The following is a 24,861-nucleotide window of genomic DNA, read 5'->3' on the forward strand; positions in this document are numbered from 1 at the left end:
TCTCACCACATGAGACCCTGTGCTCTGGGAATCCATACAATGGCTGGGTGCCAGACATTAATGGCAATAGTGGCTTAGCTCTGCAAGAATGTATTTACCTTAATGAGAGGTCTTCAGAGCCACAAGAGCTCCCAAGGAAGTATGTTGTGTTCTTCTGGGATAGTTGAAAATGGGATCATTGAAATGAGCCTTGAGAGCACTCAAGGCCCTCCTACAGCTTTCACAGGTTAAGAAGAAGAGACTTGCTGATGACGGAGGTAGCAGCCCTGGAAAATGTGATTCTCACAGGTGCACGGCTCCATTTTCTCAGGTGTTATTAAGGGAGTGTTAATTGGCATTGTAGGATCTCAACACCTCTGATGGCCCCCATTAAGGGTTCCTATAGCTGCTGTAGCTTGAGATGTACCTGTACTCTGAGCCAGGTGTGGATCTCCAAAGTGGTGTGGTTTTCACATGAAGGTAACCTGTGCTTCTTCAAACGACACCCATAAATACATGAAGCCATAGTCACCTGTTGGGTTTCTGTGGAGCTACTCTCTCCAAATAGACAGACAGATTCAGGTCAAGCACAGCCCGCCCATCACAGCCTCCAGCAGTGCAGCCCTAATAGTTTGAGATGGAACATCCCCAGGTAGGGGTAGAGACAGAATGTCAGCCCACCATTAGTTGCAGTAGCTGTTTGTAGTTCTCAAATTGCAGTAAGCATCAAACTCGCCTGGGGAGTTTGTTTGGACAGCTCAAACGCCTGGATCTCTCTTTTCTGAGTCAACAATTCCTGGGTAGAAGCCTGGCATCTACATTTCTAACGAACACCCATGGAAACTCTAACGATCCTGCTGAGCAGAAAAGAGTGTGGAGAAAAAGAAGCTACATAGAGCAGTGTTAGCCTAATCAAGAAGATCCCAAGTCCCTCCACCCCATTCAATACGCAGGCATCTGGACATTTCTATGATATTGGTGTACACTTTGAGGCAATTTGGTGGATGGTCCATTCTTCAGAAACTGTCTTGGAATACGTGAATATTCTTAACCAATTGGCAGTTGTGACTTTTATTTTTGCCTGCCTAGCATATAGGGGTGAGGGAGTCTCACAGTCTTGACTTGTAATTGTTAGAGGGTATCAGATAATTTAAACTGTTTTTGTTCTGAAAGAACCATCTCTCTCTCTCTCTCTCTCATAGCTTTGGCATGATTCATGATGGAGAAGGGAACATGTGCAAAAAGTCCGAGGGCAACATCATGTCCCCTACATTGGCAGGACGCAATGGAGTCTTCTCCTGGTCACCCTGCAGCCGCCAGTATCTACACAAATTTCTAAGGTAGGAACTCTTTAAGCTGGTCTTGTGATCTTTCGGGGCCTTTGATGCTCACTGCCTGGTCAGCCAGATCCTGTGCAAGCAGCCCCAGGCTGTGCTTCCTGATGTGGTTCCCTTTGAAGGTGTCTTGAGACATTCAGTTGACCGAAGAGTTTGCTAAAAATCTCCTTAGAGCATGGAGGCCTGTTGGCTTAATCTGACATTGATTCAAAGGGAATCAATGACTTGAGACTAAAAGGGAGCCATAAGACACTTACCAAAATATTTGTCACTAACATTTAAGTTTTACAATTCTCACTTCCATAATTAGGAATCTTCAGGAAGTGAATAGAAAGATCGTACATGTACACATCTGTATACACAATAATAAAGCATAACTTTTTTTGGTTTTTCTTCTTTCTCTTTATTTTTTCTTTCTTTTCCTTCCTTCCTTTTCTTTCTTTCTTTTTCTTCCTTTCTCTCTCACTTTCTTTCTTTTTACTAAATGCATTCCTCATTAGGTGAAGAAACTTGAGTATATAAACTTTAACCTAGCTCTAATATTCTGTAATCTTCAATAATATTTTTAGAAATTTTCTCTAAGCACTAATTTATTTAGGAGATAAAACATTGGGGAGGTAGGGTTTGATCCTTGAAAAATAGTAGATTTGAAAATTTCAGAGAAATGAGGAACTTTATGAAACGTTCTTAGAACTGCTAGTTTATATGCTTGTTCCCTAAATCTCTTTGGCTTTGAGTTTGAAGTTTGGTTTAAATCTTAAGCCAAAACTTTATTTCTGACATTACAGTCCAGTGTGAATTGGAAAGTCTCTGCTCCACACAGTCATTCAGAGACCCAGGTTTCTTCCATCCTGTGACCTTTCCTCTTCCAGGACCTAGTTCCCCACTGCAGCCATCCGGGGACTGAGGACAGAGAGAGCACAGGAGGGTGTGCGGGACAAGGGTGGTGTTCCTGGAGGAACTCATATGACTGCCCAGAAGTGCAAGGGGCATTGAGAAATGTCCTCTACCCATGTGCTCAGGTGACAGAGAGCCATCTGTGCCACATGATGAACCCCAAATCCTATTGCAGAAAAGTAAATAAAAATATTTTTAAAAATTTAAAAAAGCAAATAAAAATTTTAAAATGAAGAACAGAGGGAAGGGCACAAATGTATAGATTCTAAGGAACTAGCTAGTTGTGATAGGAAAGTTTGAAATTTGACAAGAAGAATTATATTTCTATTATTAAAAAGTAGGGCAAATACTAATACTTCCAACAAAAGCAAAGGGTTTTTTTTTTAAGTAACAGCTTTAATGAGCTAAAATTAATACACAAAAACTACACATATTTAACGTATACAGTAAGATGAGTTTAGACGTTTGCATGCACCAATGAAATAATCTCCAGGGAGATTCCAGCAGGTTTGGTGGAAGAAAAAAATAGCTTAGCAGCACCCAAGAAGTCCCCAGGCTAGGAAACGAGATTATCTGCCTTCCAAGTCTTTGTAATGTACATGTCTTTGCAGTCAAAACTAGGAACTAGTTATTCCAAACTGAGAACTAAGAACAAAGTTCCCCTATCCTATTAGATCCTGTAGACTCTTCAGTTCTCAACCGGCCTCTCTGGTTCCTTTCACTGACCTTACTTCTTTGTGTCCTACCTTTTTTTTGTTTTCTTTCTTCCTTTTTTATTCATATATTTAATTAATAGAGCTCTTTTTTTCTGTTGCACAAATTAAGTCTTCTTATTTCTAAGACACTATTTGAGTAGCAGGATCACACCAGTACTTCTGTTGGTTTTACTCCAGTGTACTTTCTGGTGGTCTGTTGCCCCAGGGCTCACCTGGGGCTGGATTGCCCCTATGGCTGCGTCTTCCTTCATTCTCTAGGGATCCTGGCTTCCCATCTTCCCAGCCAGGATTTTGATCATCAGCCTCCAGGGGCTGTGTTCCTCTAGCTTCCTCCTTTTTGGTGTTCCTCCTCCAAGGACTAAAGTATGTTAACACATTAAGGAACAACTGTGTTTCATAGTTTATGCCACCCAGCATAAGTGGCAACAGTTTGGACGATATGTGTATCTTGGTAATATAAACCTGTATTCTGGGAATATACACTTGATCATTTTTTAAAAAAAAATTATATTACCAAAAAAAGACAATGTTAAAGCTATTCTACAACTGACATGATGCATAGGAGTACATTTAGCATTTGTTTTTCCCTGCATGGTATTCTCAGAGTCAAGCTGGGGATTGTTAGCATTGTTTTTAGCTGTTTCTTGCAGCTGTTCACATTTTTCTCTCTGTGTGTGTGTAGAAATTCTACTCTGGGTAACAAGGAAGATTATTCAGTTTAGGCTCACCATGCTGTTATTTGCATTAACAAGGAAAATTCGGAGTTTTCTATATTCCAGATCCTTTCTATAGTTTTCTAGATTCAGAATTTTTTAAACCTCTTTTTCATCTTAATCGTTATGAGGAAGATACAGTAACACTTTTTCTATTTTGAAATATCCTCTGACAACTGAAAAAATCAGGGGATTATAATTTGGGTGTGTAGTGAGAACACCCAAGTTATTAAAGTCCAAAAAAAGTTTTGAAACTGCCAAGAAATATAGGCAGACTCATGGAAAGAAGATAATTACATGCTCGGGGAATAATTATTTTGAGGACGTTGAAAATAGAATGCCATCTTGAAGACATAATATAGTCCTAAGAATGATTATTAAGGTACTGGAATTAAAAGCCATTTTCTTTCTATGATACTGGAACACCTGAACTATAAGTTGAAGTGTGCTGATGTGTTTTTGTGTGCATCCAGCAAAACACTACTGTAGCATTTCAATGATAAACATTTATTTTCAGGGACTTTACCAATTTCTTTTGACCACATGAGTATAAATAAATAGGTAAGGTTTTACGTGCTTACAGATTTGTTTTCTTGAATGGTGAAATTTTCCAAGAAAGTCTCTTGTTGTTAAATTCACTATTAAGATTCATTTTACTCGAAAACCAGTTGCAAATTGGACACTTCTATAGTGTGTTAAATCTTGATTTTTCACTGACTTAATGAATCTGAGACTGTCTTGTTTGATTGTTTGCTGACTTTCTGATTTCCAAGTAATCAAAATACTGTTATATTCTCCACCAATTAGGTGGCTCTTTGGATATGATCCCAACAATGAGCAAGGATAAATGGCTACCTTTTAAGATGAATCTGTTCTCCTTATTAGTAGTCTAGCATTTGATAGTGGGAAAAAATGTAAGGGAACTCAATTGGCCTGAAGTTTTCAGCACAACTCTTCTCTATTCTTGGTAGAGTTATGAAGGCTTGATAGTTTTTTGGAGTGAATTCATCAACCTAGTCAATAAAGTCATGTGTCATTTTCCATTAACCGACACAGACCTCATCACATTACTCATGTCTGCATCCAGGAGGCCTGTGACTTAGGGAAATTTTAGCTCATTATTTTAAATTTCATGACAACAGGGACTCATCTTCAGTTACTTTTTAAAAATTTAAATCATGCCCTGCAGATCAGTGAAAATGCCAGCTCTCTGACCACGTGAATCTGAACACATCAAAGCATGAGAAAGGTGACCATCATCGCAGGGAACTTGGAGTGTAAGCGGCGCCGTACCCCATACTACTTCTGTTGATGGGAAAATGAGATCTGACCTGACAGCCCATTAAGTGTGTTTTTGTGCATAATGGAAATAATACATTTCGAGTCACACACTGCTCTGTGATACAAAGCTCATCTTAAATCATGGCCAGTTGTTGTCTCTGCAGTGCCAGGGTGACTCTAAGACTAGAGGGCAGGCACTTTCCTGCGGAGGAGAGAAGGACCGAGGGAATCAGTTCATGTCTTGTTCACGCATGTCTGGGAAGGTCTTTGGTGGGTAATATAACCTTTTCTGAGGGCCTCAGTCTTCTTAACTGAAAAATGATGGGATATAACTAAAAGATCTCTCAAGCTCTTTAACATTTTTTGATTCACCACTTAGAGTGGGAAAGGGATTTTGAAATGTTGTAATGATACTTTTGACCTTCCTTAATGTGTTCATTAACATTATTTTTGTTTTGGTACGAAATATATACAGAAAAGTACAAAATTATAAGAGTGCCTACAGCTCAATGAATTTTGGCATGATGAACGCAATAGTGTAACTAACTTCTATGCAGATCAAGATACAGAGTGTGGTAGGGACTTTAGAAGCTGCTTCTCCCCACTCCAAGGGCTTCCGCTCTTCCCCAAAGGTAACCACCATCCTGACATGGAACCCTGTGTATTGGAATCAGGAGTTATGCACCCTTGTGCAGTTATGAGATTCATCCTTGTTGCTGCATCTAAATATAGCATTAGTCTACTTAGTTATGTTGCATATAATTTATATACTAAATATATAAATATACTAAAACTTATTCATTCATTCTGTTGGTGATAGACATTTGAGTTTCCAATTTTTGGCGATTACAAGGAACAGCACTGTGAATATTCTCTTGGTTTGCATATGTGTCTTGAGTGTACATAGGAATGGAATTTTCAGAGTCATAAATGTATAAGCACAGGTGCAATAGACAGTACTAATCAGCTTTCCTAAGTAGCTGTGTGAAGTTACACTCCCAGAAGCATTTGTGAAACTTTCAAAATGGTTTCAAATCCTTCCCAACACTTGGTCACGTTGATATTTTTCATTTTAGGTATCTGGTGGGTGTGTAGTTTCATATCAATGTATTAATTAATAAGATTGAATACATTTTATATGTTTAATGGCCACTTGAATAACCTTTTCCTTTTTAGTAAAGTGCTATAATCTTTTGTGCATGTAAAAAAAATAGACCCTGTTTTTTTTCTTCTCTCTTGGTGAGAGTATTGTATACATTCTGAGTATAAACATTTTGTCCCATTCTGGAATATACGTATTATAAAATCTTCTCTGACTCTGTGACTTTTTATTTACACTTTTAATGGTGCCTTTTGCTAAACAGAAATTTTTATTTTTTTAATGGAATCCAAATTATTAATGTGTCTTTAGGGTTGGTGCTTTTGTACACTGCTGGAAAAAAAGAAAAAAAAAAAAGCTCTACTTGTCCCAAAGTTGCAAAGGTGTTCTTCCACATGATCTCCTACAAGTTTTATTGTTTGCTTATCACATGTAGACCACTTAATTTTTGTATATGGCATGCAAAAAGTCAACATTCATTTTATCCATGTGGTTATTGTGGTCGATTGATTATAAAATGGTTGCAATGATTTTCCTTTCTGCACCCACACTTTTGGTGGTTGGACCATTTTGCATTCTCACTGGAGGTAAATGAGAGTTCCTGTTTCTCCACATTCTCATCAGTGTTTGACATTGTCAGTGTTTTGGATTTTCACTATTCTAAGAGGTGTGTAGTGGTGTCTCACTGATGTTTGCCTTTGCAATTCCCTAATGACATATGATGTTGAGATCTTTTTATATGCTTATTTGCCATCTATATATTCTTTGATTAGGTGTCTGTTCAGATTTTTGTCCACTTTTTGTTATTCTTGTTGTTATTCTTACTGTTTCTTGTTCTTGGATTGTAAGTGTTATTTATATGCTTTGTGTAACAGCCCTTTATTGGCTATGTCTTTTACAAATATATTCTCCCACTCTGTGTCTTGTCTTCTCATTTTCTTGACATTTATTTCACAGAGCAGACATTTTTTATTTTAATGAAGTACAGCTTGTCAATTATTTCTTTCATTGATTATGCCTTTGATGTTGTATCAAAAAAGCCATTGTCATATCCAAGGTCACCTAGATTTTCTCCTATGTTATTTTCTAGAAGTTCTGTAGTTGTGCATTTTATATTTAGCTGTATGATCCATTGTGAGTTAGTTTTTGTATGGGGTATAAGATCTGCCTTTGGCCGGGCGCGGTGGCTCACGGCTGTAATCCCAGCACTTTGGGAGGCCGAGGCGGGCGGATCACGAGGTCAGGAGATCGAGACCATCCCGGCTAACACGGTGAAACCCCGTCTCTACTAAAAATACAAAAAATTAGCCGGGCGTAGTGGCGGGCGCCTGTAGTCCCAGCTACTTGGGAGGCTGAGGCAGGAGAATGGCGTGAACCCGGGAGGCGGAGCTTGCAGTGAGCCGAGATCCCGCCACTGCACTCCAGCCTGGGCGACAGAGCGAGACTCCGTCTCAAAAAAAAAAAAAAAAAAAAAAGATCTGCCTTTAGATTCATTTTTTAGATTTATTTATTTATTTTATTTTTTGAAATGGAGTCTCACTCTGTTACCCGGACTGGAGTGCAGTGGTATGATCTCGGCTCACTGTGACCTCTGCCTTCCGGGTTCAAGCGATTCTCCTGCCTCAGCCTCCTGAGTAGCTGGGATTACAGATGCACACCACCATGCCTGGCTAATATTTTTGTATTTTTAGTAGAGACAGGAATTCATCATGTTAGCCAGGCTGGTCTCGAACTCCCGACCTCAACTGATCCACCTTCCTCAGCCTCCCTAAGTGCTGGGATTACAGGTGTGAGCCACCGCGCCCGGCAGATTAATTTTTTTACGTGTAGATGACCAATTGTTTCAGTATGATCAGTTTAAAAGGCTATCTTTTCTCCATTCCATTGCCTTTGCTCCTTTGTCAAAGATCAGTTGACTATATTTATGTGGGTGGATTATTGGCCTTTCTATACTGTTCCACTGATCTATTTGTCCATTCTTTGTAACTTTATAGTAAGTCTTGAAGTTAGGTATTGTCAGTCTTTGTTCTCTTCCTTCAGTATTGCTCTGGTTATTTTAAGTGTTTTGCCTCTCCATATAAACTTTGGAATCAGTTTGTTTATATCCTCAAAATAACTTCCTTTAGTTTTGATTGACATTGCAATGAAGCTATAGATTAAAATGGGAAGAACTAATCTCCTGACAAGATTGAGTCTTCTGATCTATGGACATGAAATATCTCTCTATTTAGTTTTTCTTTGATTTCTTTCATCAGTTTTGTAGATTTTTCTCATGTAGGCTTTGCACATATTTTGCTACATTTATATCTGTTTCATTTTTGGTTGCTAATATAAATGACATGTTTCTAATTTTCAATAAATTCTGTTTGGTTGTCACTGGCATATAGAAAAGCAATTGACTTTTGCATATTAAGCTTTTATCCTGCAACTTTGCCGTAACTTATTAGTTCCAGGAGTTGCTTGGTGGATTCTTTCAAATTTCTACCTAGACAATCATGTCATCTATGAACAAAGATAGTTTTATTTATTCTTTTCCAGTCTGTATGCCTTTTATGTAATATTCTTGCTTTATTGCACTAGGTAGCACTTCCAATACAATGTTGAAAGGGAGTGGTAAGAGGAGTCATTCTTATTTGTTCCTGATTTTAGTGGAGAAGCTTTAAGTTTCGCACCATTAATTATAATGTTAACTATATTTTTTGTAGATGGAAGTTCTCCTCTATTCCTAGTTTGCTGGGATTTTTTTTTTTTTATCATGAATGAGTGTTAAATTTTATCAAATGGTTTTTTTCTTCATCTGTTGATATGATCGTGTGGTTTTTCTTCTTTAGCCTATTGATGTAATAGATTACATTAATTGACTTTAGAATATTGAACAGACCTTGCAGACCTAGGATTAATCCCACTTGGTCATAGTATATAGTTCTTCTCATGCATTGTTGGATCCAATTTGCTAACATTTTGTTGAGAATTTTTGTATCGATGTTTATGAGAGATAAGAAAAGCTTTCTTTTCTTGTACTATGTTTGTCTGGTTTTGGTATTAGGATAATGCTGACCTCATCTTAAAATTTAGAAAGTATTCCCTCTGCTCCAATTTATTGGAAGAGATTGTAGAGAATTGGTATAAGTTCTTCCCTAATCTCTGGTATAATTCACAGAGAACCCATCTGGGCTATATGTTGCTTTTTATGCACGGAGTCCTGAGCTCTGAAGCAGTGGAACGTGGGACTGGGGGTCCTAGAAATGAGCCAGAAATCTTCCAGTCAAGGTGGACAACCACTCAGAGCCAAGTTTGGAGGATGATCTGCCATTGCTCATTGTATTGTGATTCTAGGTTTTTGTTTTTTTGGTTTTCTCAGGGAAGGGCCTATTGAAATTTGTAGGAGGGATTTAGTTGCTATTTGAAAACACAAAAATGTTTAAATACACTTTCCCAAATGCATAAATTATACCAAAGAACATCCTGGAAGAGAAGAGGATAATCTATTTATGGAAAAAGAAATTATTACTTGTTCTTTAGCCATCTACCAATGATTTCAGCAAGGTTAATTTTCTGCTTGACTTGGGGGTCATCAGAAATCATCCTGAGCACAGAGCATTGCTGGTGGAAATCCAGTGATCCAGGAAGAACCTCTACAATCTCGAAGATAATATACATGTCCCCTAGCCTAGAGGGAAAAAGAATGAAAAGCAAAGAAACAAAGAAAGTTCCAGTCTTTGAAATAGAGTATGTTTTATTTTTATAATGCCCATCTTTTGGTTGATTCTGCCAAGAAGTGTGCATAAAAGATGTCCATCATAAGAGCTTCTCATGTTGAACACTGGTTGTAATTATTCAGTTGCACTTTTCCTCATGATAAGTTTAAGAAATTTAATAAGTACAAATCGTCTCCCTGGAACAGGTACAATGTATAATAAACAATTTCAGAAAATGGAGTCTCTGTATTTAAATATAATTAAGATAAGTATTATATTGTAACTCAGGAGAAAAAAAGTTCTCCTCTTTGTATACACAATATATGTTGTAAAATTACATGGGGGAGAAAGGCATAATTAGTTGTAAGTCCTTTGGTTACTCTACGGGCAGTTACTAGTAGCTCATCTCCTCTTTGTTTCAGCACCGCTCAAGCTATCTGCCTTGCTGATCAGCCAAAGCCTGTGAAGGAATACAAGTATCCTGAGAAATTGCCAGGAGAATTATATGATGCAAACACACAGTGCAAGTGGCAGTTCGGAGAGAAAGCCAAGCTCTGCATGCTGGACTTTAAAAAGGCAAGTGATTATTGGCACATGCTCAATGCAACATGATTCATAAGACTGTTTTATTTAGTGTAACTGATGTTGATATATTCTGCATTTATTGGGTACCTACCAAATGTCAAATCCTGTATGTTAAGGCTGGTCCTGTATAACGGGAAACACATGTTTCACTGGCAAAGAAGACGACAGGAGATACTGTTGTGGGTATCAGTTTTCATTTGAGAACCGACTTGGCCTGTTAGGTTGGATCTTTCTTTCTGATTTATCGTGTGGGAGCTCAGCAATAACTTTTAGTCAGTGTAAGTTGGCAAATTAATACTCTGCATTTTTTTAAATGATTTTAAAAAAACGAAGTCCCCCTCCTCTCTCCCAATATAAGCATACTTTACTATAAAGCAGCAGCTTACCTAGGGCTACTGATTAATAAATTTCCCTCAAACAAGGTATTTATAGAGTTGTCTCTCATAGAAGGTAATACCTACTCCGTCAACCCCAGGAACTTTACCAGAGTGATTTAGTAACAGAAATTGCTCATGTAACACAGAGACATATGCTCTTGCTAGAAAGGGAAAATCGAGATTTAGGAACCTGCTCTATCAAACACAGGAAAAGCTACCCATAAATTAAATAAAAGTAACTATTTTTAAGGTTTCTTTTATTCTAGTTTATAATAAAATCAAGAAGAAATTAGAGAAAAATATAATCCTCCAGAAACTTCCAAACATTTCAAAATGCATTGGGAATACTCCCAACTTAAATCTAACGTGATAATCATCTTTCTTCTAAAGTCAAGCAGAGCTCCCCCAAAGATCAATTCCAGCTATGTGCCAGAACTGGATCCTTATCTCTTCAGCTGGGGAGTCCCAGACTGGAACAAGATCTGTAAATCCGTCAGCAGCAGCAGACATTCTCAATACTGCCTTTTCTTATGGGCAGAAGATGTGAATTCCCTGAGAAATTTTTTTTTTAGTGTTACTCTTCTGTTTGTTAAGGAAAATGGACATAAAACTAATGGGTTTTTTTCAAAGATAGGATCTTCTAGATTGTGCTTCTGGTTTCCATGGTAGTTAGCTTTGTGACCACGGACTGTGTCATTCATGGTGCCCTGTTGTCATTTGGAAAACATAGGCAATGAAAAGTTAGATGCAAGGTGCATTTTTATTATTGAGGACATATTTACATGGAGAGAAACACATTCATTTTACATGTACAATTTGAATTTTAACAAATGTATTCTCACATGTTACTGGCATCTTAATCAAGACACGTTTTATTTGCATAAGCCAGAACCTTCCCTGTGCCCCCTCCTTCAACCCCTCCCTGACTCCAGTAACAATTATTCTCATTTCTATCATAATTGCTAAATGTTGCCTGCTCTTGAATGTTATAATTACCTTGCTCCATATAGTAACATTAAAAGTAAATTGTATAATATTTCACCATTAATAAGTATGATGTTAGCTGCTGGTTTTTATACAGATACTCTTTATCAAACTGAGGAGGAAGTTCATCTCTAATCCCAATTCGTTCAGAGATTTTATCACACAATTGTGTTGAATATTGTCAAATCTTTCCCTACGTCTATTGATATAGTTATATTGTTTCCTCCTTTGTTCTATTAATGTGGTGAATTATTTTGATTGATCTTTAGTTTTTTCCATTGGACTTTGAATGTCAAGTCAATCTGCCTTCCTGGGATAACCTCACTTGGTCGTAATCTATTGTTCATTTTTATAATCTGCTGAGTTGATTTGCTGATATTTGCTCATGATTTTTACATTTGTGTTCTTGATTGATATTATTGGGAAATTTCTTTCTCATAATTTATTTTCAAGAATTGATTATCAGAGTTGTGCTGACCTAATAAAATCAGTTGACAGTATCCCTTCCTCTTCTGTTTTCTGGAAGAGTTTGTAAAAGATTGGTGTTGTTTCTTCCTTAAATGTTGATTAGAATTCACCAGTGAGCTCTGTCTATGGAAAGGTTTTTGTAATTACTGATTCAACTACACTAATAGATAAAGGGTTATTCAGAAGACACTCCTAACTAGACTGATCAATTTCATTGGAAAAAGTAAAGAAATCATTAAAAGTGACACTAAAGGAGATATTTTTTCAATGAATGGTTATGAATTCCTTTAATTACTGTAAGATCTATAATGATATATCCCCTTTCATTCCTCATAATGATAATATGTATTTTTAAATCTTTTTTTCTTATCAGTCTAGTTAGGAGTTTATCATATTAATCCTTTCAAAAGCATCAATATTGGGCTTAATGTTAATTTGTAAAATTTGTTTGTTGGATTCTTTTCTATTTCACTAAGTTCTGTCTTGTCTTTATTATATTCCAAGGCTAGTATGCCTGTCTTTTTCGTGCCCTTTGAAGTAGCAGCTTGAATCATTGACTTTAAACCTTTCTTATTTTCCTAATATAACCATTTAATATATTTAGAGCTATTAATGTCTTTCTAAGCACATTAGCTGTATCCTGAAAATGTTTACATACTGGGTTTTTAATATTATTAAGCAAAAATATTTTCTAATTTAACTGGTAATTTCATTAACCAACATATTACGTAGAAATATATTAAATATTATTTAATTGCCAAATAATTCTCCAGATAACTTATTAGTTTTGATTTCTAATTTCATAATTTTGTTCAGAGAATATACTCTACATGTACTTTTGAAATGTATTGACACATATTTCATAGCTTAGCCTATGATCTGTCTTGGTGAACATTCTGTGGAGACTTGACATGAATATAAATTCTGCAGTGGTTGGGTAGAATATTCAAGAAATAACTGTTTTTTAAATAATATTTCTTACATCTTCTGCATCATCCATCATATTTCCTACTTGTTCCACCAGTTTTACAAAGATGAGTGTTAAAATCTCCAGCAATTATTACGTATGTTTCTATTTCTCATGTTAGTACTATTAGTTTCTGGGGTTTTTTTTGTTTTGTTTTGTTTTGTTTTTTTTTTTGAGATGGAGTCTTGCTCTGTCACCCAGGCTGGAGTGCAGTGGCACGATCTTGGCTCACTGCAAGCTCTGCCTCCCGGGTTCACGCCATTCTCCTGCCTCAGCCTCCGGAGTAGCTGGGACTACAGGTGCCCACAACCACGCCTGGCTAATTTTTTTGTATTTTTAGTAGAGACGGGGTTTCACCATGTTAGCCAGGATGGTCTCGATCTGACATCATGATAATTTCTGTTTTATATATTCTGAAGCTTCATAATTCGGTGCACATACATTTAGGATGGCTATGTCTTCTGACTCTTTTCTCGTTGTAAAATACCCTCCTTTATTGTTGGGTAATATTACTTTGCTTGATTTCTACTTATTTGATACTAATATAGCCACATCAGCTCACTTAGGATTGCTCTTTGCATGATCACTTTTTCCATTCTTTTGCTTTCAATTTATGTGTGTGTTTATATAAAATGTGTCTGCTGTAAACATCCTTTTGCCTAGTATTGCTTTTCTGTTCATTGAAACAAACTCTGACCTTTTACCAGCATGTTTAGTCTATTTATATTGAATGTAAAAATTATATAGTAGATTTCAATCTACTGTTTTACTATTTGTTTTCTATTAGTCTCATTTCTATTTTGTTTCTCTGTTCCCTTTCTTCTGCCTTCTTTTAGATTAAACTATTTTTTAAATTCAGTATTTTACCTTGACTTGCTTTTTAACTGTACTTCCTTATGTTAATTGATAGTGGTTGCTTTAGAGATTACCGCATGCATCCCTAATTTAGAGTCTATGTAGAATTAACTTTGTGCCCACTTCGTGCAAAATGCAAGGTCCTTACAACAAATAAATCCATGCATCCCTCTTCCTTGCACTATCATTGACATATATTTCATTTCTCTGCAAATTAAATGCAACAAAATGCAATGTTGTAGTTTTTGTTTAAAAATAGCTGCTTTTAAATAAGACAAGAAATTAAACCATCTTTTATATTTATTGTTTAGTATCTATGTTTTCCTATAGGTCTGTTTCAAAGTGGTATCATTTCCCTAAGGCCTAAAGAACTTCCTTTAGCATTTATTCTAGCACGTATCTGCTAGCCACAAATTATCTCCAATTTTCTTTATCTGAAAATGTCATGAATTCATCCTCAGTTTTGAAGATGAAAAGTGTTTGGATAAATCAGTGAAATATACCTTTGGCTTATTGTAAGTTTTAGTTCCAGAATTCCATTTTTTATAGTTTCTGTTTATCTTCTGCATTTTCCCATTTATTCATTTATCTCTACTTTTCCTTGAATAGTATATTATTTTATGTTATAGATACTTCTATTATATTATGTTATTACATATAAGGTGAGTCCTTTTGATCCCCGAAGACTTTGCTTTATTCTTCATTAGGGCTCATCGCTTTCAGTTTTCTCTGGGCCCTGTGGTGTAGCCGGTACTCTCGTGTGTGGTTCTTCCCCATGAGGCATGGACTTCTGGGCTTTCCACTGAATGCCCAGGATGCTCATTGAGGTCTCTCTACTCTGTGTGAGCCAAAACTCTAGTTTCTCCCAGCCCTATGCATCCTCTGTCTTGAAGCCCTCATCAGCTTTCAGCCTGCAGCTGTGGTCCTCTGCTAGGACACCTGGAATCTCCTATGTGGCAGCTGCTCACCCCTTACCGTTAGGACCTGCAGCAAAACCTAAGACAGACACCTGGGGCCCCCAGCCCAATGCAACTTTTTTCTATATGAGCTGACTCTCAACTAGCTGCTGAACAGGCCTCTACTCTGACCTCTGCATCCTCCAGTCAGTGAGACTGCTATCATCCACCTGGTATCCACCTCCCAACAGCGGGGTCTGCAAAGTGCTCCCAGGCAGAGAGGTGGGCAAATGCGGCGTTCATTCTCCTTGCATGTTTTCCTTCTCTCGAGCATCACAGTACTGTGTTGACTATTGTCAAGACCTGAAACAATTGGTCCATATATGTGGTGTATATAACTTCATAGTTTTGTGGCAGTTTTGTTTTGTTTTGCAGAAAAGTGAATTTGATACCAGTTACTTCATAGTGGACGGTGGGAGAAGTAAAGTATCTTTTAAAATTGAAAAAACAGTACATCTATTAAAATCACATAATGTCAGATCATTCCTTATGATATATAAAATTGTTCTTTAACACAAACTTTATGTATTTTCTTTTTTCTTTTATTTACTTATTTATGTTTTGATGGAGTCTTGCTCTATCGCCCAGGTTGGAGTGTAGTAGCACCATCCCAGCTCTCAGCTTACTGGAACCTCTCCCTCCCAGGCTCAAGCAATTCTCATGCTGAGTAGCTAGGGTTACAGGTGCATGCCACCATGCCTGGCTAATTTTTTGTATTTTTTGTTGAGACAGTGTTTCACCATGTTGGCCAGGCTAGTCTGGAATTCCTGACCTCAAGCAATCCGCCTGCCTTGGCCTCCCAAAGTGCTGGGATTACAGCTGTGAGCCACCGCACCCAGCTTTGTATTTTCTTTTAAAAATTAGAAGCTATTTGTGTGGCCAGTATCTCTCAGACACCAAATCTCAAAATTACATATGGTGTGGCAATTAGAGATTTTTAAAAATTTTCTATGTGAATTGAAACATCTCAGAACAATTTAAACTATAAAACTTATTTTTTTTAATGAACACCTGCTCAATTTTTATTTAAAAGGGCCTATTTTGTTCAGATGAAATGTAGAGATCAGGAAGTTTCTTAATGGGAGGATATAAAACAAGAAATAACAATAAGAAGCAAATGGCCCAGTGCCCAGACCAGCCCTGGGCACAGTAGAGTCACTCAGAAATATGCTAATCTAGATGATGGATGGATGATATTTTAGGAAGGGATGAATCTCTTTTAAATAGCTAACATTATTTCCTTTGAAAAGTGAATAGACAATGTAAATGCATATGCATCCTTTTTTTGTATATGTGAATGTATATTTGATGTGTATGTATGTTTACATACTTATGTATAATATGTGACACATATATGACAATGGCTTTTTCTGTCACTGATGTAGAGTGATAATCAGGATTAGTGATAAAAGCATCTCACTGCTTGAAGAATAAATAATGACAATGCCCTGTATATCTGACTGTAACATCAATTGTAACTGCATTCTTTTTTTCCATAAGTCATTGGGGTACAGGTGGTATTTGGTGACATGAGTAAGTTCTTTAGTGGTGATTTGTGAGATTTTGGTGTACCCATCACCCAAGCAGTATACACTGCACCATATTTGTAGCCTTTTATCCCTCGGCCCCCTCCCTCTCTTCAGTCCCCAAAGTTCATTGTATCATTCTTAGGCCTTTGTGTTCTCATAGCTTTGCTCCCATATATCAGTGAGAACATACAATATTTGATTTTCCATTCCTGAGCTACTTCACTTGGAATAATAGTCTCCAGTCTCATCGCTCACTGCAAATGCTGTTAATTGATTCCTTTTTATGGCTGAGTAGTATTCCATTACATATATATATATATATGTGGTATATATATATGTGGTATATATATATATGTGGTGTATATATATGTATGTGGTATATATATATGGTATATATATGTGTGGTATATATATGTGTGGTATATATATGTGGTATATATATGTGGTGTGTATATATATATATATGTGGTGTGTATGTGTATATATATATATATATATATATATATATATATATATATATATATCACAGTTTCTTTGTCCACTTGTTGATTGATGGGCATTTGGGTTGGTTTCACAATTTTGCAATTGTAAATTGTGCTGCTATAAACATGTATGTGCAAGTATCTTTTTTGAATAATGACTTATTTTCCTCTGGGTAGATACCCAGTAGTGGGATTGCTGGATCAAATGGTAGTTCTACTTTTAGTTCTTTAAGGAATCTCCACACTTTTTTCCATAGTGGCTTTACTGGTTTACATTCCCACCAGCAGTGTAGAAGCGTTCCCTGTTTACCACATCCACACACAAACATCTACTGTTTTTTGATTTTTTAGTTATGGCCATTCTTGCAGGAGTAAGTGGTATTGCATTGTGATTTTGATTTGCATTTCCCTGATCATTAGTGATGTTGAGCAGTTTTTCATATGTTTGTTGGCCATTTGTATATCTTCTTTTGAGAATTGTCTATTCATGTCCTTAGCCCATTTTTTTTTTCTTACTGATTTGTTTGAGTTCATTGTAGATCCTGGATATTAGTCTTTTGTCAGACGTATAGATTGTTAAGATTTTCTCTCACACTGTGGATTGTCTGTTTACTCTGCTGACTGTTTCTTTTGCCACGTGAAAGCTCTTTAGTTTAATTAGGTCCCAGCTATTTATCTTTGTTTTTATTGCATTTGCTTTTGGGTTCTTGGTCATGAAATTCTTTTTTTTTTTCTATTTTTTTTTATTATACTTTAAGTTTTAGGGTACATGTGCACATTGTGCAGGTTAGTTACATATGTATACATGTGCCATGCTGGTGCGCTGCACCCACTAACTCGTCATCTAGCATTAGGTATATCTCCCGATGCTATCCCTCCCCCCTCCCCCCACCCCACAACCGTCCCCAGAGTGTGATATTCCCCTTCCTGTGTCCATGTGATCTCATTGTTCAATTCCCACCTATGAGTGAGAATATGCGGTGTTTGGTTTTTTGTTCTTGCGATAGTTTACTGAGAATGACGATTTCCAATTTCATCCATGTCCCTACAAAGGACATGAACTCATCATTTTTTATGGCTGCATAGTATTCCATGGTGTATATGTGCCACATATTCTTAATCCAGTCTATCATTGTTGGACATTTGGGTTGGTTCCAAGTCTTTGCTATTGTGAATAATGCCGCAATAAACATACTTTGACAAACTGAGAAAAACAAGCAATGGGGAAAGGATTCCCTATTTAATAAATGGTGCTGGGAAAACTGGCTAGCCATATGTAGAAAGCTGAAACTGGATCCCTTCCTTACACCTTATACAAAAATCAATTCAAGATGGATTAAAGACTTAAACATTAGACCTAAAACCATAAAAACCCTAGAAGAAAACCTAGGCATTACCATTCAGGACATAGGCATGGGCAAGGACTTCATGTCTAAAACACCAAAAGCAATGGCAACAAAAGACAAAATTGACAAATGGGATCTAATTAAACTAAAGAGCTTCTGCACAGCAAAAGAAACTACCATCAGAGTGAACAGGTCATGAAATTCTTTTCTAAGCCAGTGTCTAGAAGGGTTTGTCCAATGTTATCTTCTAGAATTTTTATAGTTTCAGGTCTTAGGTTTGAGTCTGTAATCCGACTCAAGTTGAAGAGTGTAGTACAGACAATTTGAGGAAGTGAATCTGGTAGTGTGCCATTCACAATATTGAAGCACCACAATGCAGTTTCAGCCCAGCCATCTGAAAATGTTGGTTTTACCTGGGGTGTTATGTTGTGGTGTTAAACCTTAACCAAGTTGGTATTACTGAAATTGGTTTTTGTGAACATAACTCTTAAATTATGGACTAGAATAAAAAGAGAGAGGCTTCATTAAAGATAGTATACCTTAGCTACAAAGATAAAGCAAGAGTAAATACTCTGCGTAGGTTTTGACTCTTTTCTGCCCAAGTTAGGTATTTGTTATTAAAAACATTTTGTCTTCATCGTGTACCTATCATGCTTTATCATCATTGCTTTGGTGGCCTGACCCTGCAATCTGAAACATAAGCCGCCAGAATTGCTTTGAAATTTGATCACCTCAGCATCCTAGGTACTGTTGTTAAATTGGGAGTAACCCCAAAACCCAGCAAGTCTTACATTCCAACTGCCTGGACTCTAGAACCGTGATTTAATAGGATCTTTGTTCCAAGAAGACTCTGAAGTTTCATTAAGGATATAATGACCTACAACAATAGTGCTTTAATAAAACCATGGTATGTTATGTACCATAAAGTTAGCAGTTAAGTCAAAGTGATAAAGTTGGACAGGACAATTGGTTTTTGGCTGCTCATTTGTAGTTTACTTTTCTTTTTTTAACTTTTTCTATTTAATGTTTATGGATACAGAATGGTTGCACATATTTATGGGGTGCTTGTAATACATCGATACTGAAACAGAAGAGTTCCATTTTCCCCCTTGCAGGACATGAGACAGGGGTGTGGCTCGCTCCTTCTGTCACCCCTCTGCTCAAACCCCTAGTGGGAGCACGCAGACAGGCAGGTACAGAGACTGTGGGGAGCACTCTTGGGCTCCGGCCCCACGGCAGCCTCTAGGAGTGGGTGTCTGCAACTCCCAAAGCCCAAGTGAGCATGTGTTACGGTGTGCTCCTTCAGCTTCTCCATCTGTGGATGGCTTGTGTTAACCAGTTCAATAGACCCTGTGCCTTATTCCAAGGGCAGAGGGCCAGTGTGACAGCTTTCTGTATCCTAAGCTCTTTCCCAGTGTACTGGAAAAACTGGGTCACCCCTGTGGCCTCAAAGATGAGTGCGAGGTTTTATTGAGTAGTGGAGGTGGCTCTCAGCAAGGTGGATGGGGAATCAGAAGAGCAGGATGGAGTGGGAAGGTGGTCTTCCCCTGGAGTCAGGCTGCCCAGTGGCCAGACCCTTCTCTGGCTGCCCCCAGCTGAATTCCCCTTAGCATCCAGACATCCCTCCTCTCTTCCTCTGCCACGTCATTCATCTTTCCACCGTCACTGGTCTGCCGGTCTGCTGGTGTCTGCTGGTCTGTTCCTCTGCTTCTCTTGACCACGTTCAGCCACTGTGTGTGCCCATTAAGGTCTCAGGTTTCCACGGGCACAGGATCGGGGGCGTGGCAGGCCAGAGTAGTCTTGGAAAATGCGACATTTGGGCATGAAAACAGGAGTGTCTGTTCTCACTTAGGTCTGTGGTACAGGCCTGAGTGTGGAGCCCTCTCCAGGGACCCCCCCTTCTCTACTCAGCAACTCCCTGCCCCCTCCCATATCAATACAGGCGTACAATGTGTAATATTCAAAGCAGAGAAACTGGGATATCCTTCACCTTAAATGTTCATCATTTATTTGTGTAAAGAACATCACACTCTTCTAGTTATCTTGAAATATACAATAAATTGTTGTTAACTATCGTCACCCTATGGCCCTACTAAACATTAGGTGTTATTCCTTTTATCTAACTGTATTTTTGAACCCATTAACCAACTCCTCTTTATTCCTCCCATCCCCCTCCACTACACTTCTCAGCCTCCGGTAACTATCATTCCACCACTACAAAATCCATTTTTTCACTTCCACGTGTGAATGAGAATGTACAATATTTTTATTTTGTCATCGCAACTCTTTAAGACACTATAGTTTTTATTCGTTTGTATGGGACAGAGTGTCATGTTTATTAAATGGCAGACAAGTACATCTACAGGATACCAAGGTCCCAAATTATGTTTTAAGTGTTGAAAGACAATACCGTGGGTTATATGATCGTCAGTTTCTTCTAACTTTGTGATTTATTCCAGCCTTGAGGACTGGAGTTGGGGATTGAGCAGGTCCCAAAATGAGGCTGAAAAACACAGATGGCATGAGCCGAATCACAGACTGAATTAGAGAGCCACATGACTTGGCAGTGAGCTGTCACCAGCATCCTATATTTGAAGGCTTTATACTTTAAAAAGTTGAAAGCCCAAACCTTTAACAATATCATCATCAGTATTTATTCTGCAAAATGCTCCCCAAAACTAAAACCTAAGAATATTCTGAAGTTACTCTGAATGGTAGTCTGAATCATGGTCATCTTAAGTCATCTTTGGCTTTTTATGATCACGATTTCCTGATTCTTGCTAATGTTATTGTACGTAAAGCTTTCCTGGTCCTCTGTCACTGGTTTTCACAGGAGCAAATGACTACATGTTCCATGTGCCCAGAAAGCATTTATTGAAAGACGAGTAGCAAGCACTGTACCAGATAATGATAAGGAACATAGTAAAATAATTTAACTTTTTTTTTTTTTTTTTTTTTGAGATGGAGTCTCACTCTGTCACCCAGTCTAGAGTACAGTGGTGCCATCTCGGCTCACTGCGACCTCTAACTTCCAGGTTCACGCCATTCTCCTGACTCAGCCTCCCGAGTAGCTGGGACTACAGGCACCCGCCACCACGCCTGGCTAATTTTTTATATTTTTAGTAGAGACGGGTTTCACTGTGTTAGCCAGGATGATCTCGATCTCCTGACCTCGTGATCCGCCCGCCTCGGCCTCCCAAAGTGCTGGGATTACAGGTGTGAGCCACCGCGCCCGGCCAATAATTTAACATTTTAAAACACACTTTACCTTGTATTATTTTGAGTAGCCTTAGAAACAGCCCTGTGAATTAGGACCCTAGATCCCTAAGATCACAGCAGCCACACGGCAGAGCCCTGAACGCAGACGGAGACCTGTGCCATTGTCTCCTCAAGCCCTTAAGCGAGAAAGGAAAGGTGCAGTGCCCTAGTGCCTTTACTTCAGGTGCCAGGCCCTGAGCTGAACACATTACCTATAACCACTGCATTTAGTCCCCAGGACAAGTCCACGATTAGACGTTGCTGTCCTCATGTGCACAGTGAGGACTCAGGGGTCCTGCCTGCCCACATCTGCTTGCAAAATTCACCCTGGAGCTGCTTATCTACCTGGGAATCCCAAACTCTACTGGACCATTGTGGCCATCTCCCAGATCACCCAACCACACAAGCAGCTTCTGCTTTCACCCTCATTCATTCAGTATGAAGGAATCTGCTTTCACACTCATTCATTCATTCCTTAGGTATGCATGCTCAGCCTCCTGAAGCAGGAGGTCTCTACGCCCCATCGGTCCAGGAGGCCTCTGTGAGCCGCCCAGGGGCTGCTCAATCTCTCTCCCTAGTCTCCCGTTCTGACCTATCATATTGCCACCCAGACATCGAGCCGGTGTGCACAGGCTGTGGTTTTAAGGGAGTTTATTTTTATCCTGGCATTCTATCAAGTTGTCATTCCTGCAAGCAAATAGAGCTGGCCAGTTGTCTGTTTGGAGAATTACATTCAGGACCCTTGAATTCATGGGTTCCTTGGGTTCTGCATACATTTTTTTTAATCTCTAAACTCCGTTCTGGCCAAGAACAGAGGCCCCTGACACCATATAGTAATGAACGTAATTAAAGCCTGTCTGAAAGAGAACATACCCGGGTGCTCGCAGCAGTCTTCATGGGAGCAGCCATAGGAGCATCACTGTTTGTTCCCTGCTGACAAAGACCTCAGCCAGGCAAAGCCCTGGCCATTAACACAACACACTTATCACAATGGCGAGGATCCCAGGGGACTCGAAAGATCATGACATTTCATTGCACAGTGATTGTAACCATATGAGATTTTAAACCACAGCGCAATATGAAAGCAATTGATATCTGAATTAAAACACTGAACGTTTACTTGTTAACATTTCAAGCTCCAAAATCTGGTTTATTAGTGAAGGAGATATAGCCAGGGAAAATACGAAGCTGTGTCTTTAATAAGCACCTTAACTTCTAAGTATATAATGAAATACATGCAGGAGATTTAAGAACTGGTGTTAAAACCCTTCATGAGATGACTCACACAATGCAGAAAACCTTCCTTTAACATGGTGGAAATATGGAGTGAGATCACCAGGCAGCAAAATGCCATCTTCCCAGCTGCACTACGTCGATGTGTTTCACTGCCTTGCATTTTCTTCATGACATGAATCACCCAGTAGATGCATCCATTTAATTTCTTGGGGGAATAATGCAGCACTTGTTTAAATGTTCTGAACACTTGTGCAGACAATTTAAGAAATGTTTTCAGCATGTCCAGTTGAGTCTACCGCCAGCATTCCAGAAGGTTCCATCATTTCACAAGTCCTACTGTTTGCCCTTCATTGAGACATTCCTTTGGACTCAGTAAAAACAATTCCTTGCACTCGGAGAGTCTTTTATAGTTTACAAATCTTTTTCATTGGGGCATCTCTTTCTGTATGCGCCAAATGGTGATTTACAGCAAATTCCTTCTTTACCCTATGAAGACCAAGAGGCAAAGAAGGTCATGTTCACAATGGAACCTCTTGCCTGGCAAGATGCCTCACATATTTTAAGCCTTAATCACAGATTTGGGGATGGTGGATGCATGGTTAAATGGATGGATGGATGGATGGATGGATGGATGGATGGATGGACAAGTGAACAAGCATCCTAAACATCCTTAATTTAAAAATAAGAATTCAGACTTGGACAGATTCAGGAAGGTGGGGTTGAGAAGGATACATTATGAAATATTAAGTTTAGTTTTTTTATTTTAACTTTTTATAGTTTTCTGCAATGTCTGAATTAAGCATATTTTACATTTTAATTTAGAAAATATAATTTTGTTAAAAAGATAATATATAAATAAAACAAATAAAGTATAAGAGATGGAATTAATTTGAACCAAGTCTAGAGCATGAGTCTCCTTACACCTTACTCTATTATATGCTATCATATTGCTAAGTAGGCATTCGCTTGTAAATTATATCTGTTGTTTTCACCTTAAATCTCTCAGTGATATTTTTATTATAGATGAATTGACAATATGATGTAATCCTAATGACCTTTTACAAAATTTCTTTAGGACATCTGTAAAGCCCTGTGGTGCCATCGTATTGGAAGGAAATGTGAGACTAAATTTATGCCAGCAGCAGAAGGCACAATTTGTGGGCATGACATGGTAAGAAGCTAACTGTAGGTACAGCATCGTATTCAGATGCTAGTCTTTCAACCCATGCATCTTTGCTCCTCTTGCATAGGTATTTTTAAAACATGTATTTCTCATATACATATGCATACCCATGCTCCTATCAAACACTGTGTTTATTTTATATTGATAATGTGAAGAGGAATCCTTTTCTCACTTTTGTGAAAATAAAATTGATGAGCTACCTGGAATTCATAGACATAGAAATCAGACAACAGGTGATGACAGATTCAGTCTATTGAGGGGAAACATTAAGCCATTGACCACCATTTATCATGGAAAGGACCAGCATTAAACAGTGCTGTGAAAGCCACAGAACATCGGTTTGAAGACCCTGGAGCACATCATTTTCACCTATTGTTGCCTCTGTGAGAAGAGAGAGAGCTATGGTAGAGAAAAGAAGAAGTATACAAGATGTTGCAGCAATGTGGACGTAGTTGGAGGCCATTCATTATCCTAGGCAAACTAATGCAGGAACAGAAAACCAAATACTGCATGTTGTTACTTATAAGCAGGAGCTAAACACTGAGTACACATGGACACAAAGATGGGAACCATAGACCCCGGGGACTACTTAAGGGGGGATGGTGGGAGGGGGCAAGGGTTGAAACACTATCCCATATTGTGCTTGCTGCATGGGTGATGAGGTTATTCGAATGCCAAACTTTAGTGACACGTAATCTACCCATGTAACAAATCTGCACATGTACCCCTGAACCTAAAACAAAAGTCGGAAAAAAAAGAAATATACAAGATAACAAGTTTATTACTAAATGGTAAAGAATGACAATTTCATTATTAAAACTTTAAAAAATTATAATACTCCATACTAATATTTTAATTCTTTTGATTTAACTTATAATTACATTTTTTAAATATAAAAGACTATTAATAAAGATA

The 24,861-nt window shown here is 38.1% G+C and overlaps 1 protein-coding gene across 4 annotated transcripts in view, besides 1 other annotated feature; it reads left to right on the forward strand.

The window, feature by feature from the left end:
* ADAMTS16 (ADAM metallopeptidase with thrombospondin type 1 motif 16) overlaps window positions 1-24,861 on the forward strand; it is a 179,975-nt gene that overhangs the window by 58,621 nt on the left and 96,493 nt on the right. For all 4 annotated transcript variants that reach the window (NR_136935.2, XM_047416874.1, NM_139056.4 and 1 more), the window contains exons 9-11: window positions 1,182-1,319; window positions 10,143-10,296; window positions 23,839-23,934. Coding sequence is in view for 3 of the 4 variants with exons in the window: in XM_047416874.1 (XP_047272830.1) it covers window positions 1,182-1,319; window positions 10,143-10,296; window positions 23,839-23,934 (388 nt within the window). In the remaining variant the exon portion in view is untranslated. The remainder of the gene's footprint in view (window positions 1-1,181; window positions 1,320-10,142; window positions 10,297-23,838; window positions 23,935-24,861) is intronic.
* Window positions 548-1,064: an enhancer, noted in NCBI's record as "OCT4-NANOG hESC enhancer chr5:5199611-5200127 (GRCh37/hg19 assembly coordinates)". NCBI's record gives its function as "activates a minimal SCP1, AML or CMV promoter by ChIP-STARR-seq in naive H9 embryonic stem cells {active_cell/tissue: H9 hESC(naive)}" and the evidence as "EXISTENCE:reporter gene assay evidence [ECO:0000049][PMID:30033119]".

Source organism: Homo sapiens, chromosome 5 (genome assembly GCF_000001405.40).
Source record: "Homo sapiens chromosome 5, GRCh38.p14 Primary Assembly".
Taxonomy (NCBI): Eukaryota; Metazoa; Chordata; class Mammalia; order Primates; family Hominidae; genus Homo; species Homo sapiens.